Source organism: Homo sapiens, chromosome 9, assembly GCF_000001405.40.
Source record: "Homo sapiens chromosome 9, GRCh38.p14 Primary Assembly".
Classification (NCBI taxonomy): Eukaryota; Metazoa; Chordata; class Mammalia; order Primates; family Hominidae; genus Homo; species Homo sapiens.
In genome coordinates this window covers 8,728,335-8,745,595 of record NC_000009.12, presented here as the reverse complement: position 1 = coordinate 8,745,595, position 17,261 = coordinate 8,728,335, and the positions used below count along the sequence as shown (strand labels likewise).

The 17,261-nt window shown below is 37.9% G+C and overlaps 1 protein-coding gene across 55 annotated transcripts in view; it reads left to right on the top strand.

Annotated features, from left to right (window-relative positions):
• The window catches only part of PTPRD (protein tyrosine phosphatase receptor type D), a 2,298,757-nt gene that overhangs the window by 1,867,407 nt on the left and 414,089 nt on the right, over window positions 1-17,261 (top strand). For all 55 annotated transcript variants that reach the window (NM_002839.4, XM_017014961.3, XM_006716827.5 and 52 more), the window contains one exon: window positions 11,650-11,816. In NM_002839.4, the coding sequence (NP_002830.1) occupies window positions 11,753-11,816 (64 nt within the window). In that variant the 5' untranslated portion in view covers window positions 11,650-11,752. Of the gene's footprint in view, window positions 1-11,649; window positions 11,817-17,261 lie in introns of those variants that run through there.

The following is a 17,261-nucleotide window of genomic DNA, read 5'->3' as shown; positions in this document are numbered from 1 at the left end:
AGGTACCAAGTTAAAGATTGACCCTTTAGAAAATTTTTGACTCATAGGATAAACTTTCATTTGTGAATTATTTATTGGTCTAGGACAGTGACTGCCAAATACCTTCATTCAGTGAGATTCTTTCATCCTGCCTTCCTATACCCCGCCTTTAAGGTTGCCTTCCCCTTTCGTTTATGCCCATTGTAATATTGTCTCTTTGCTAATTAAAGGAGGGACTTTTTCTTTATGTTGATCACTTTGGAATTAATCATGACATCGCCTCAGCTATCTATTTCTGTTGCAGTAAGTCAGAGATAGTAAAAGTAGATACACCATGCTATAGAAGAAAGAAAATTGGTTCTAAGCCCTCCTCTGAGACTACTCACTTGTGCATTTTGAGGTTATTAATTCCATTATGTCCTTGTACTTCATGCATTGTCTGTTAAATGAGAGGGTTGCCCAAAATGATGTTATTTTTTTCTTCTGATTTTTATCAGTCTGTGGTTTCATTGAAGGAGGGAGTAGATGTGAAGAGGGCACTAACAGTAAAGATGAGTGCAATATAACTGAATGAAATATATGTACAGAGTGAGAGAAGTGAAGAGTGTATTTTGGATATATATATGGTTAATATTTGTCCTCTTTACCTTTCTTTAGATTTTATGTTTCTGTTTGGTTTGATAGTCATTTATTTAGTTTCCCCACACAACCTATTTTCTCTACTATGTAAATTGTTAATAGTATCTTAGAGAGATGTGGGAATAGTCATGAGGACAACGTTGGGATTATAATGTTCTGCCTTTAAAATTTATTTTTTATTTCAATAGGTTTTTGAGGAACAGATGGTGTTTGGTTATGTGCATAAGTTCTCTAGCGGTGATTTCTGAGATTTTGGTGCACCCATCGCCCAAGCAGTGTACACTGCACCCAATGTGTAATCTTTTATCCCTCACCCTGCTGCCAGCCTTTCCCTTGAGTCCCCAAAGTCCATTATATCATTTTTATGCCTTTGCATCCTCATAGCTTAGCTCCTCCTTATGAGGGAGAACATGCAATGTTTGGTTTTCCATTCCTGAGCTACTTCACTTAGAATAATAGTCTCCAATTCCATCTGTGTTGCTGCAAATGCCATTATTTCATTCCTTTTTATGGCTTAGTCATATTCCGTGGTATAAGTATACTGCATTTTCTTTATCCACTCGTTGATTGATGGGCATTTGGGCTGGTTCCATATTTTTGCAGTTGCAAATTGTGCTGCTGTATACATGCGTGTGCAAGTATCTTTTCGGATAATGACTTCTTTTCTTCTAGGTAGATACTTAGTAGTGGGATTGCTGGATCAAATGATAGATCTACTTTCAGTTCTTTAAGGAATCTTCACACCGTTTTCCATAGCGGTTTTACTAGTTTACATTCTTGTCAACAGTGTAGAAGTGTTCCCTTTTCACCACATCTACACCAACATCTATTTTTTAAAATATTTTTTCGATTATGACCATTGTTGCAGGACCGAGGTGGTATTGCATTGTGGTTTTGATTTGCATTTCTCTGATCATTAGTGATCAGGGAGCATTTTGTGAGCGTTTTTCCATATGCTTGTTGGCCATTTGTATATCTTTTTTGAGAATTGTCTGTTCATATCCTTAGCCCACTTTTGGATGTGATTTTTTTTTTCTTGCTGATTTGAGTTTGAGTTCTTTGTAGATTCTGGATATTAGTCCTATGTCGATGTATGGATTTTGAAGATTTTCTCCCACTCTGTAGGTTGTCTGTTAACTCTGTTGATATTATTATTATTATTATTATTATTATTATTATTGTTATTTTTTGCTGTGCAGAAGCTTTTTTAGTTGAATTAAGTCCTATCTATTTAATGTTTGTTTTTGTTGCATTTGCTATTGGGTTCTTGGTCATGAAGTCTTTGCCTAAGCCGATGTCTAGAAGGGTTTTTCTGATGTTATCTTCTAGAATTGTTACGGTTTTGGGTCATAGATATAACTCTTTGATTCATCTTCAGTCGATTTGTGTATAAGGTGAGAGAGGTATGAAGAGAATATTCTTTAATTCCACTTTCCTTAGCCATTTATGACAGCCTTTCACCGTTCCACTATTGATCTCTATTGCTAGCAGTGATATGAGAAAACAGTCCTTGAAACTGAGTATTTCTTTCCTGAGACTGTTCCCTTAGAGAAGAGCTAAGCTCCCATCATGAGACATGGGAACCATATCTATTCACTGACTGACATCAGTGCAATGTCTGTTCCATTTAACAGCTTCATTCTTTTAATTGGTGACAATATTTATGCTGCCTAAGCCTGTGAACTAAACTTTTAAGGCAAGCCAACTTTGGTTCTAACTTAGGACAAAAAGGGAAATTTGGGTGTCATCCATATTCCCATGCCCAGAAATTCAAATCTGTTTTGAGTTTATGTATGAAAACACCTAAAATTGGTGGGTTTAGAAAGCAATGTATTAGATTATGTCTTAAAAGTCCCCCCCCCCTTTTTTTTTTAATTTGGAATTTTTCCTCTGTGCCAATGAGCTGTTCTAGGACAGGGTTTCCCACCTTTGGCATTGCTGACATTCTGAATGGGATAATTTCTTGTTGGGGGGCAGGTAGTTGTTCTGTGTGTTATAGGGTATTTGGCAGTATCTGTGGCCTCTACCCTTAGGTGCCATGGGTCACCCTTCTTGCGCTGTGACAACAAAAATTGTCTCTAGGCATTCCCTGAGGGAGAGGGCAAAGTCACTTTTACAGCTGGCCCAGAGATTTGATCACCCTGAGGATGGAGCTACCAATAAATATTACACCTGCGAGGCGCTAAATTAGTTTTCTTTGAGCTATCATAATGAACTATTTAAAAAACAATTAAAAGGTCCTTCACTTTATTCTTAAAATAATCCTAAGGAAAAGAGATCAATGTAGATTATTCCCTTTAGAGAGTGGTAAATTCTCCTCAAAGTGAATTTTTAAAATTGCTTTTCATAGTAAAGAAGTAAAATATGTATTGCCAGACTTTTCCGTACTATGTATTGATAGGGCTAAAACAAATAAAATAGATACAATAATAAATAAAACCTATTACCCATAACATTTGAAAAGTAAATGTATTTTACAGATATTTTGCATTCATTAAGAAAACCTGTTTTGATTTTTAAAGATGACAAAATCAGTTATATTGATGTAGAAATGATAGTTTCATATCCATGTATTCTTGAAAAATGCCAAGACAGATCATGTAAAATGTTCTCATTATAAAAATGATAACTATATGAGGTAATGCATATGTCAATTAGCTAAATTTAGTCATTCCTCAATGTATACTATATATACTTCAAACATCATGTTGTGCATAATATATACAGTTTTATATATCAATTTAAAATAAAACAACAAATCATACATTACTATTAGGATAAGATCCTATTGTAATGTGTGCAGTCTGTCATCAAGGAAATTTTAAAGCTTGACTGACATATTAGTTTATTGGTCATAACTAATGTCTTATAGCTTGATGTATATAGGTTATTAAAAGTGAAATATAGGGAATAATATGAAATTTTGGAACAGGTGCATAATCGCTTCATGATAAATTAGGCTTATGGTGATACTCCTAGCATGAAAATGTCTTGTCTAGACCTCTTAATCAAGGGCATATTAATTACTTCTTTTGATTGGTTGAACAGAATATCCTAATAAATTATTTAACATAAAAAAAGAAATGCCCGGTCAGGCGCGGTGGCTCACGCCTGTAATCCCAGCACTTTGGGAGGCTGAGATGGGCCACTCACGACATCAGGAGTTTGACACCAGCCTGGCCAATATAGTGAAATCCTGTCTCTACTAAAAATACAACAATTAGCTTGGCATGGTGATGTGTGCCTGTAGTCCCAGCTACTCAGGAGGCTGAGGCAGGAGAATCGCTTGAACCTGGGAAGTGGGGGTTGGGGGTTGCAGTGAGCCGAGATCACACCACTGCACTCCAGCTTGGGCAACAGAATGAGACTTCATCTCAAAAAAAAAAAAAAAAAAAAAAAAAAAAAAAAAAAGAAATGCCTGAGATTAAAATAATAGAATCCATGTTCTGTTTGAGTGGAAAGTGGCTGGATTGCATATCTATCTACACTTTGCGAGAAAGATCTGTTTCTCACTTGTACAGTGTCTTTTTGGATGAAAGGAACAAATATTAGAGTTCCAACGGCATGTTGAATAGACTTGTATTTTAACCGTTTCATTGCCAGTTTCTACTGGCATCACATAAAACTAGATAGAAGCTATGACATGCAGTAATAACTGAAAGAAATTTTAGATTCTTTTTCTAAAGCTATCCTTCTTTTCAAATCAGAATTATAGTTCTATTTGTAGGGGAACAATAGATACAAAGGGAGATGAGGTTTTTTTTTCCTTTCTATCTGTTCATTTCTCACGGCATACCTCATTTTTTTCTTCCCAAAGGAGAAAGAAACAATCAAAGTTAATAATGTCATTTTGCCATCCTTGAAAATAACTAATATTTATATGTGCTTCCAATGTAAAGCCACTTGATATCTTACAGGGATGCATCAATAATAATTTGGAAAGTGAATCATAAACTATAGAAAAAGCTCAGAATAATAGCTATTGACTTTTTTTTCTCTGTGTATTAGAGTTAGGCATATAAGGGATCTTTTAAGTGTCTATATTGATAGGAATTGTTTTACTCTTCGGGTATTCTTAAAATTCAGTTGATTTCTTCAAAGAATCATTGTGTGCTTATAGTCCCCTGGGGTCTTCATATTAAGTCATAGCCTAAGCCAAAAATGAGATGATTGAATTATCACTTTGTGTTTATATGTAATAGCTCTTAAACTACCTCTTGTTGTTTTTCCTAACTGATTGTCATAAAAACATGTTTAGGGCAAAACAGAAAAATTTGGAGTTTTTGATTTGATGTGCTGATTATGTGGAGTATAATTTTGAGGTGTTACAAGTTTCATACAAATAATTTCTTATATTTTTAGGTTTGACTATTTTATTCAGAGGTGCTTGGTTTGTGGTTGTTTTTCATAGTTTTATTAAATTCAATAACCTTGTTCAATGGCCCCTTTTCTCAGTAATATTTTCCGTAATTGACATTAAAGCTTTTGGTGCCCTGCATACATTTAAGAATGTGTTTCCCGTATCCCTCGCTAATATTAATCGAATGTGGCCATTTTATAAAAACTATACAACTATACAAATTATTTCATGAGGATGTTTAGAAGTATGCTTGTCCTTTATGTCTATAGAATGTGGCAGTTCTTTGCTGCCAGAAGTAGTGAGAAATACAATGAAGTATGAAACGCCATCTTTAACATAATTTTTCCTTTAATATTAAAGGAACATTCGTTAACACTATTTCTACTTGGATATTTTCCAGTTATATACTCAACCACTTATTGATCTTCCCTTTGCATTCTTGATCAGATGAGATTGGGCGTGTTCAGGGTAGTTTGGTCATAGACTGATCTTCCCTTTACATTCTATGAAATAATTTAAAAAAAATGAAATCTTTTATTTGGCAGGATGAGGGACATGGGTGGGTTAGTGTATTAGTCTGCTTTCACACTGTTGATAAAGACATACCTGAGACACTGGGAAGAAAAAAAGGTTTAATGGACTTACAGTTCCACATGGCTGGGGACGCCTCACAATCATGGTGGAGGGTGAAAGTCACATCTCACATGGCAGCAGACAAGAGAAAAGAGCTTGTGCCCGGAAACTCCCCCTTACGTAATCATCAGATCTCATGAGACTTATTCACTATCATGGGAACAGCACAGGAAAGCCCTGCCCCTATAATTCAGTTATCTCCCACTGGGTCCCTCCCATAACACATGAGAATTCAAGATGAGATTTGGGTGGGGACACAGTCAAACCATATCAGTTAGTGAGTGATCCAAAGCTTAAATGGGTATCCTCACATAACACAGTGAATCTTTAGTGTCTGGTTATTGGGAAGCCAAGGACTACGAGAACTCAGAATTCTCACCTCATTGTTTCAGTCTACACCTCCAAAAAACACTGACTTTCTGTTCAGTGCTGTAAACCTGTAGTTGTAGTCTGTGCTGTCCAATAGGGTAGCCACTAGCCACATGTGGCTGTGTAAATTTAAACTGAACTTTAATAAGATAAAAACTTTACTTCCTCAGTCGCACTAGCTACGTTTAAAGTGGTCAATTATTAGTCAATGCAGATAAAAAAACATTTCTATCCTGAAGAAAGTTATATCTGTCAGTACTGGAAGATTCTTGTTTTATACCACGTTAAAATATTTAGATGGCTCCCTTCTCTTGGAAAATCCACAAGTCAGTGAAATGTTGAAAGTTTGCTTTTGGGTTCTCTTCTCTTTTCATGTACTTGTGTTGTAGCTGGACACTGAGGGCCTAGGGAATTCCTGGGGTGCCCCCTGAAGCCTCTGTCAGGTTTGCTGTAGGCTCCAGGCCCCTCCCCTCCTTCAGGCTTCAGCCAGAGCAGCCCTGCTTTTGTCTGTTTTACAAATTGGAGAGTCCTAGCAGCACATCGTTTGTACAAATGGATCCTTCTCTTAAATAATTAGAAGCCACATTCAGCTGATTTACAGAGGCCTGGTTTGGGAGGTAGATAAAAAGAAGTAATTTGGGGACATACTCCTTCCCATACCATCCCCCAACTTAATGCATATCTTTTATGCATGTATGTTCAGGTTAAATATCATTATGATATTGCTTCTGAGATGTCTAGACTTGAGAGGATGGGTTTGTTATGATAGAAAAATGAAAAATGTTCAGAGATAAACAATGATACCTAGTTTTAAGTGACAGCAGTAGTTTTTGTTTTTGTTTTTTTAATGCTTAATTCTTTCCTTTTCTGTTCCCGTTTTCAGAGTAATGATTTGGTTCTCTAACTTTCTCCTAGAGTAACCAGTGAAATTTTTAAAATTATGAACTCATAGATTATAATGTGATTTGTTGTAGTTCTTTGCAGTTATTATTCTTTTTGTCACTCAGATTTCCCTACATTTAGCTGATAGGCACCTCATCATCTTGGATTTTTTTTTTTTAATATAGCCTAGTAGTTCCGACAACTTCCTTGCTTCTGGTATGGCAAGATGTTGACTAATTTTCTACATTTCCCATACAAAGCCTATAATCTGCCATTTTCTAAGGGACTCTAGGCCCTAGTTTGTCTTTTTTTAAAGAAAATTTTAATACAGTATTTAGACACAAATAACAGTATAGAAAGCTGAAAAAATAGTACAAATCCTTCAACATTCATATTGGTTTGAATATGAATATACTTATTACAGAAAAGTGTTACAATGGTAAGTTGAAGAAAAAGAGTTGGATAGGTGTCACTTTATGTGATCGCTTGAAACCGTGATTTGTTAAGGCTTTTAGGCAAGTGCGCTCTTTGTTGTTCCATTTCAAATTATATTACATGCATCGTATTGCCCTCTGAACTGTTAGTTTCTCCAACCACCCATGTACAGATATACAGAAGCTGATATACAATTCAGTTAATTGGAATTCAGCAAAATTATTGTTTCATAAGATCTTTGTGGTATGAGAAATAAGAAACCGGGGAGTTATAAATTTTTTGAAATTGTATTTTAGATTCATATACATGGTTGAGTTCTATCTGCATGTCCCTGCTGATGAAAGACAGAGAGCCGGGTGCAGTGGCTCACATCTATAATCCCAGCACGTTGGGAGGCCGAGGCGAGCGGATCACAAGGTCAGGAGTTCAAGATCAGCCTGACCAATATGGTGAAGCCCTGCCTCTACTAAAAATAGAAAAATTAGCCAGGCGTGGTGGCGCACACCTGTAATCCCAGCCACTCAGGAGGCTGAGGCAGGAGAATCGCTTGAACTGAGGAGGCGGAGGTAGCAGAGAGCTGAGATTGTGCCACTGCACTCCAGCCTGCTTGACAGAGAGTGAGACTCTGTCTCAAGAAAGAAGGAGCAGAACATATAAAAATCAAAGGGTTGGCTTCTGCTGAGGCTATTGGACAAATGCTGGATAATGTGTGATGGAAGTAAGGTAAAACGTGGTACTTTTAATATCACTGAACCTCCTTGCTCTTTTTTTTTTTCAGAGTACTTAGCAAGCCTTACTATAGATTAATGGAAACTCCTTATAATATTCTTTTATCCTGTTTATTTTTGGTTTAATTATTTTCTTAAGAATCCATTTCCAATTTTTGTACCTAAATTTAAATTCCACCTTACTGATAGGCAGCTAGCATTTCCCTTTTGGCAATGTTGCTGTGTAATAAACAAGATAAGGAATGGAGATTAGCTGGAATGAACATTTAGAATACGTTTCATCTTCACACCTCTGACCTCCTTTGGGCACAACCCATTTAAGGATAAATATGTATGTTTATACCTGCATTCGTTTCTAGAGTGCTAGATCCTATCACTGTTGCTAGTCCAGGAGTAACATTTGAAGGTTCATTTGAAAAAATTTGGTCTTCTTATGCACTTCAGCTGAGTAGGAGGAAAAGCCAAATCACTTCTTCCCTGAGTGAGCATTCATAGGTCTCCATCTCTGTGATCACACGGAGTCATTATGTAGCAGTTGGCTCTGATACGCTTGCACAGACACAAATTGAGTCCGACAGGACTGATGTCTCCTGGACTTTGCTGTCATTTGAAATGCTGGCATGAGGATGGGAGCAGTGAAAGCGGGAGGAGGGGAATGGGGAGGGGAGAGCTGATTCCTTTAGCACTTTTCCAATGAACTTTTGAGATTTTTAACATCTGATAGCTGTGAACTGCTTGATAAGTTGATTTTCAGAGGCGATTGATAACAATAGCTGATTTGGAACAGCTGGCCAGCTTCTGGATTCAAGAAGTTTTCCACTGTACCACTTGCTTCTTCATGCCAACCCACTGTTTAAAAAAAAAAAAAGGAGACTATCTAATAGAATGGTAGAGTGATTCCTCTCCTTTTTAGTTTTATCTTTCCTGCATTCAAACCGCTTATGAATACTAATAAAAAAGGTAATATCTTTAAAACAATTTTTGTTCTCATGCTTAAGCTGAGTTTCAGAAATGACATACTATGGTATCTGCATTATAATTCTTTTTAAAGTACAAGTTATTTTAGTGGATTAGGTTATTGCTGGATATCTCTAGTATTTCCTGTCAAAAATTTTGTATATGTTTCAAATATTTCAGTTTTAAAAATTAAAGGTATGCAGTTTCATTTTGCAAATGAATACTGATAGTCATTTTCAGATATTTTCTGCAGTAATAGAGGATGCAGTAGGATGTGATCTACTCTCTTTATTTTTAAATTTTTCATTAAGAGTGTACTCTGCATAAGAGGCTGTGCTAGATTTATTGAGGGTTCTATAGGTACAATTATTTAACACGTGAAGAATTATACTTCAAATGATTGCTTGGAGCCAGTCATTGCCTCCCTTCCTAATTCCCACCAGTACCACCATTACTCTTAAGTCCTGTGTCACTTCTCACCTGAAACTCTTGCTGTGGCCTAATAGCATTCTCTAAATCATCCCTGATCCAGTTGTCAGTTAATCTTTCCAAAGCCTGGTTCCATGGTTCCTCTGCTCTAAAACATTAAATGGCTCTTTTTGTAGTTTGCTGAATAAAGGCCATTTGACTTAGATCGCCATCCAAGGCTCTCTGTGACCTATTTTTTTTTAAAGTCTGAATCTTCTTTTTTTTTTTTTTTTTTGAGACGAAGTCTCACTTGTCACCCAGACTGGAGTGCAGTGGCAGGACCTTGGCTCACCAAAACCTCTGTCTCCTGGGTTCAAGTGATTCTCCTGCCTCAGCGTCCCGAGTAGCTGGGATTACAGGTATGCACCACCACGCCTGGCTAATTTTTTTGTGTTTTTAGTAGAGACGGAGTTTCACCATGTTGGCCAGGCTGGTCTTGAACTCCTGGCCTCAAGTGATCCTCCTGCCTCGGCTTCCGAAAGTGGTGGAATTACAGGCGTAAGCCACTGCGCCTGACTCTGAACCATTTTCTTTTGCTTCATCTTCTGGTTTTCCTAATAGAAGATGGTTTCCCATGACTTCAACCAGAAGGTTCTCAAAGTGTGGTCTCTGGACTGGCAGCATCAGCATCACCCAGGAACATGTAGAAATGCAAATTTATGCAAATATGTGACCCAGTCCTGTAATCCTAGCACTTTGGTAGGCCAAGAGTGGTGGCTCATCCCTGTAATCCTAGCACTTTGGGAGGCTGAGGCAGGCAGATCACTTGATGCCAGGAGTTTGAGACCAGCTTGGTTAACATGGTGAAACCTTGCCTCTACTAAAAGTACAAAAATTACCCAGGCATGGTGGTGGGCACCTGTAATCTCAGCTACTTGGGTGGCTGAGACAGGAGAACCACTTGAACCTGGGAAGCAGCGTTTGCAGTGAGCCGTGATTGTACCACTGCACTACAGCCTGGGTGACAGAGTGAGACTGTCTCAAAAAAAAAAACAGAAAAAAAAAAACAAAAAAAAACCAAATTATTGAATTATTGGATCCCCACCACAGACCTACTGACCCACGAACTCTGATGGTAGTACTCACGCATCTGTTCTAAGAAGGCTTCCAGGGGGCCCCGTGCATGCTGACCTTTGGGAGGCCCTATTCCAACCAAACCAGGAAACTCAGGTTTTCCAAAGTTCCTTTCCCACTGCCCTGCCTTTGCATAGAATTCCTGGAATGCCTTTTCGTCATCTTGTTAAAATCCTGGTTAAACTTCAAGGCCTAGTTTGAGACACTATTTCCATGATGTCAGTCTTGATCCTATCTTTTATAGCATTATCTGGTTTTCCTTCCTGGCGCTAATCACTTATTAAATTGTACTAATCATCTGGTGTACCTGCTTTATTTTCCCTACTAATCTGGAAACAAAAATAATAGAACCTGACTCATCTTTCTGCCTTGAGACACCTTGTGCTGTCACTCTTGATGCCTTGCACACAGTAGGTGCTCTAAAAATAGTTTGTGGCTTTTTGATTTTACAGAGAAGACTGAGGAAATTAAACCCTTGCCCAGGAGGCATATAAAAATCCTGTTAAATGAAAGAGGCTCATGCTAACTATTGTTTTGACTTATTGATGCCAAACTAGACTTGAACATTGATGTGTCTTCAGGGAAGAAGCCAAATATGCTAGTGTAAAAAATTCTAACCTCTGCTATTTACCTGGAGAAGTTGAATTAGCCCTGTCATTTCAACTGATGCCAAAAAAGCAGCTTCCATTATTGTGTCAGTAATAGACTTTTATCCTGCATGGAGGAACTTCTCTTAAATCTTTCTCATAGCACTGGTGTGCTTCTTTGCACTGATGTATTTACGTAATGTTTCATAAGAAGTGACAGTTCCTTTTTTAGGTCTTTGCCCAAAAGGTGGCATAAGCAAAGAATGAAAGTCAAGGTGGTTGGCTTTAGGAGAGCCTAAAATTGGGAATGCGAGAGCTCCCACGTAACACAAACCCGGATAGTCTAAGACTCCTACATTTTACAAACCAAGTTATTTCCTTCCTAATACAAACAAAGTATGACAGTTACAATTTATTGTGTATTTACAATGGATTGTGTCTGTCATGGTGATTGTGATGGAACCAGGGGGGAAAGAGTAAGAAATCTAAGCACTTTTGTGTTTTCTTCCTTTTCTTTTCTCTTCCTCCCCGCTTTCAGGCTCTGAAAGTGTTCCAGCTGAAATTTCAGATCGGACAGACTCGCTGCGGCTCCGGAGGCAGTGATTCCAAGCTGCTCGCGCACGCTGCTGCCAAGCTGCAGGATGGTGCACGTAGCCAGGCTGCTGCTGCTGCTCCTCACTTTCTTCCTCCGCACGGATGCTGAGAGTAAGCCATTCTCCCCTTCTCTAGGGGGCTGTGACCATAATGAGTGGTTTTGTTTGCAGTTGGCACCAGGCTCAGGGCCTCTGAATACATTTCCTTTGGAAGTAAATCCTGAGACACTGCGGGATCCTCCTTGGCTACCAGCCAGCCTTTGAAAGAGATTATTGACGTGACTTCCTCACCATTTCCTCTCCGTTTTAATGCCCCTTTTCTTGTGCATCTAACTGCTCCTCCTGTTTATTTATTTTTTTATACCTCTTATCAGCCTGGTAGCAAAGATATTATGAGACCAAGGATATAACTCAAACTGAGGTTAACCAGTTGGTGGTGCCAATAAGTAAACATTGTTCAGACCCACTCAAAATTTCTTTATTTTTGTGGATCATTCCGTGTTTAGAAAAATGCACAATGTCACAATGAGCCTAATTAAACTTCCAAGCCCCTTGTAGCTGTCATAGCAGCTGTTCTAATGTACTGTTTCCGACAGCTGTCGTCGAGTACAGTATTGAAACAAATCAAGCAGAACTGACAACTTTGTGGCTGGATGAAGGGTCTGGAAGTATGAGGAGAATTCTGTGGACTAGAGACACCAAAGCTTGGATTACTGGACTCAATTTATGAAACTGCTATTGTGGTCCATTAACTTGACAATTAATGAGAAGATCACATCTTCCTAATTAGGAAATCATTAGGTCTACCTTGTTTACCTGCATTTATTTTCCCATCTGTCCTGTGGCTTTTTGGAAGAGATAGTATTGGAGAAAGGCATGTCTCGGCCTTGTACTCCCTGACATGTGTGGTTCCTTGGTAGTGGTTTAGTTCATACATGAGTTAGCCATTTTCTTTGGGAATCACCTAGTATGAGTAAAATGTGTGACATCTGCAGTCATTAACATTTCTCTCCACTATTTCAGTGAGATTAAATTTGACTCATGTTAAGGATGTTTCCAAGACAAGTATCCTGTGTCATCTTGGCCCCTTTCTATTAATTGCATTTTGACAGGAATTCCCTCACGAGCCACCAATTGCTTCATGGAAATAGGAGCTCTATTTTCTAAAGAGGTATTTTGAGAAGTGAAAGGAATAACATTAATAAGAAGATACATATGTAATATGCATGTTTTAAGCACAACATTCTCTGGTTAATAATGTATATAGTTTCCTAATTAGCACTTGGGAGTGTCAACTTAAGGTGAAGCCAAGGAATTTCGAGTCTAATGCCAGCAAATAATTAACTGGGAAAAGACCCAAATGTTAGATGTTCTTGTTATTTTAAAGCCATTTATGTCAAAGCTTATTTTAAAGGTGTAATCTAAATTTAGTTTATTAAAGAGAAATTGAGACTATGGTTTTATTATTTTTGTTTGGCTAGAGTGCAAAAGTAAGTTGTTTCACCATTGTTAATTTTTGGCAAAAGCCCATTTAGACCCTGGGAGCCCAGTTTAATGTCAGATCACAGCTAGAGTTTTTCTTAAAGTTACTAGATATAATTATTGTACGTCCATGAAGTTATATTTCCAGATAACTAAAAATGTTCTTCTACTGAGGAGTGATGCCTTTGCTTAATTCTCTGGTGAAAAGTGGCAGACAGATGTGGAGTTTAGAAAGGAAGACTTTTAAAATTGTGTTTGAAAAAACAATCTTTTCTGCAGATAACCGTCATCTTACTGGTTTTCTCCTCCATCTTCCTCTCGTTCTTCTTCATCACACTTCTTATGCTGTGTAGTCTTACAAAAGAAATCACAAAGGCCCTTGTTAGCAATTTTTAGTTAAGATATTTATCATGCTGTATGTTTTGTGATACCAGCTTTCAACCTTAAGATGTCCCTTGAAAAAGAATCTACTCCCTCTCACTCCTCCCATTATAGCTAAAAAGAGGAAGCAGGCTTCAACTTGGCCAAATCAATTTTGATTAGCTTTGTCCTTGTCTAATCAGCCTCCATGTAGTATATTTTCCTTTTCACAGATTCATTTGGCACTCTTGAATAGCATGTGTATTCTGAAAGTTATTGACGAAAGAGGAAAATTTAACCATATCTTTTAAGGTACATTTTAAAAGAAGAAGGGACATCCATTTGCAATCTACCAGAAGATACCTGTGGTTTGTGAAAGCACATGGTAGAGTCGGAGATATCATTTTAGTCACTAAAAATGTTTAAAAACAATTGGTAAAATAGGATCCAGATTATAACTTATCAAATACTGTCATTACCTTTTCTTCAAACACTGAAATAAAAATAAAGTTATAAGTAACACTACAGAAAAATTTGATTTATTCACTATCATATATAAAGATAATATTTTTCAGGCTTTTATTGCCTGGGTCACTGATTTGTTTTCTTATGCCTTCATTAGCACATCTAGCCTTCTTTGTTTTCCCTTTTACCTAACTGTGTTTCGTATTGATCCAAAGGATCAAGAGTTATTAATAGTAGCTTGTCAGAGTCATTTTAGAACTCTGAAATAATTTTTTCAAATGTTTGTCCTCCTTTGAAAAAGAAGACCATATGGGGATGGGAATGGAAAGAAACCACTCTAGTTTGCCATGTTAATTTAATGTGTCCAACTCACTCTCTTTTGAAATGATTAACTCCAAAAAGCCTGAGAGTCAGGGTTATAATCTGCTGTATAGAATGTCATAGCAAAGTACTGGGTGTGATGTTGCATTAAGGAGGAGGGCTCTTATAAGCCTTGGTTCAAACCTAGGTTGGAAAATTGTGATAATATCCCTCAGCAGAAAATTATAGTCTTTGCCATTGCCAGTTTAAAATGCCTTGTATATCCACTATTATTTGAAAAAGCTAGACGTGTGTTTGTATCTGATTTCTGTTCATTCCGGTGTCTTGAATGGCCCAGATGATTTTGCTTGTTGTTTCTTGAATGCATGTCTGGACAGTAGAGCTGTGATCTCAGGGAAGGGCATATGCGACTTCTGTTCGAGCAGCATGAGTAAGCTCTTCTTCAGGGCTGGCCAACCAGTTTTGTGGTTTAGGTAGTGCTCCGAGAACCATTCGGCTGTAAGATGCATGCAGATTAAAGATTCATATAGATTATAGTAATGTAATCCTCAGGTGAATGTTTTTCTTCTGGATGAGTTTTCATAATAGCTTCTGTTAGTTGTATTTCATACATAAATTTCGTTTGCTATTTACCAGTCTTTAAAAAAGAAAAACTAAATGCAGACCAAGAACCTACTGTTAGCATCTTCTTTGTCAGACCAGTTTCACTCTAACGAAATCACTTGTAGCATACTGTTACATTCTAGACCTGAGTTTACACTGTGGTCATTATAATTAAACCTGAATGTTTACCTGATCTCAGAAATAGAACATTTTTTTTAAATTGTAGAGACACACTCTTCATAATTTAATTCCTCAGATGGTTTAGTTCATCCATTTACTTGTTGCTTTTTGTCATTTTTCCACTTCAGATTGTGAATACTTCTTCATTCTCCTTCCTTATTGTTAAAGAGCCTTGCTGTAGTCACTATATACTCGCAATATTTCTTTCTTTTTTTTTCTTTTTTTGAGACAGAGTCTCGCTCAGTCGCCTAGGCTGGAGTGCAGTGGCGCGATCTCGGCTCAGTGCAAGCTCCGCCTCCTGGGTTCACGCCATTCTCCTGTCTCAGCCTCCGGAGTAGCTGGGACTACAGGTGCCCGCCACCTCGCCCGGCTAATTTTCTGTATATTTAGTAGAGACGGGGTTTCACTGTGTTAGCCAGGATGGTCTTGATCTCCTCACCTCGTGATCCACCCATCTTGGCCTCCCAAAGTGCTGGGATTACAGGCGTGAGCCACCACGCCCGGCCTATACTCACAATATTTCTGTCTTTTATGGAAGCAGTGAGTCCCTCCTCAAACCCCTTTGGTATTATATCACTGTAGACCATGGAGTTTCTTTATTTCTTTGACATTAGAGCATAGACTGACATCTGTGTTGTAAGATAATCATTTGCTATCTTAAGTATTTCCTGATGGGCAGCATAGAGTAGTGGTTAAGAATGTGAGCTCTGAAGCCATAGTCTGGTTTTGAAGTCTGGCTGTGATTTGGTAAATCATGCTTTTAGCCTCAGTTTCCCATATCTTTGTCATTTTGATCAATCTTGCTCTTTGCTTCAGTTTTCCTATTTTTAAAATGTGGATGACGGTGATGGTCATGATATAATACTCCTGGGTTTTGCGAGGATTTGCTGAATTAAAAGAAAACTCATAGATTAGCAGATAACACAAGGTAGGTGTTTCGTGAATGTTAGCTGTTATTATATCATTATTCAACAAGATTTAGCAAACAGTTTTATTGAGCACGTGTGAAGCACTGTGCTAATTTTTTTTTTTAATTTGACCTAGAGGTTATCAAAATTTGGGTGGTGGATAAGCCAGGTTTTCTTGTAGCAAGTTAAAGTCTCCAGCTTGCTTCTCTGCAAAGTCCTATATGTAGGAGTTCTTATAAACCCTTGCTTCCGGGCATTAAATTGAAGATCAAGAGGGGAAATATGAAGCATATCTACTTTAGTCTAAAGTGGTTAAAAAAAGGCTTCTTAGAATTACACATTTAAAATTAATTTGGCTTGGGTAGAATGGATAGTAGAAGGCGTTTCCTCTGTTTGTACGGTTGCCTCTTACATACATTTTATTGAGCAGCTCACAGGAAGGAACTATAGAAATTTACTGTAGGTAAACACAGTAATACAGTGCCTCTTCAGAAAGCTGAAGGTAGGGGGTGAGCTTGGTGAGAAAGAGAGTGAGTGGCCATTGATATGACCAGGAATTATCTTGCAGGAAAAAAATACATTTTTTAGTTTTTTTGAGACAGTCTCACTCTGTTGCCCAGGCTGGAGTGCAGTGGTGTGATCTTGGCTCACTGCAACCTCCACCTCTGGGGTTCCAGCAATCCTCTTGCCTCAGCCTCCCGAGTAGCTGGGATTACAGGCCCCTGCCACCATGCCCGGCTAATTTTTGTGTTTTTAATAAATACGGGGTTTCACCATGTTGGCCAGGCTGGTCTCGAACTTCGAACCTCAAATCATCCACTTGCCTCAGCCTCCTAAAGTGCTGGTATTACAGGTGTGAGCCGCCGTGCCAGCCAAAAACATTTTTTTAAAGGAATAGGAAAATGATGATGTTGAAAGCAGGGCAAATGATTGCATCTTGCAGAAATTGGCGAGATCTTCCCAAAAAAGTTAGGAAAGGAAAGGATAACTTTCTTATATTATTAAAATGCATACATTTCAGTAGGCAGAGTCAGTTTACACCAGAAACATATCTTATTAAAAAGATTTTGGTTTTTGCCATGTGTGGTGGCTCACGCCTGTAATTCCAGCACATTGGGAGACTGAGGCAGGAGGATCATTTGAGGACAGGAGTTCAAGATCAGCCTGGACAACATAGCAAGACCTCATCTGCACAAAAATTCTTAGAAAGTAAAATAAAAATGTCTTTTTGTTTTTGT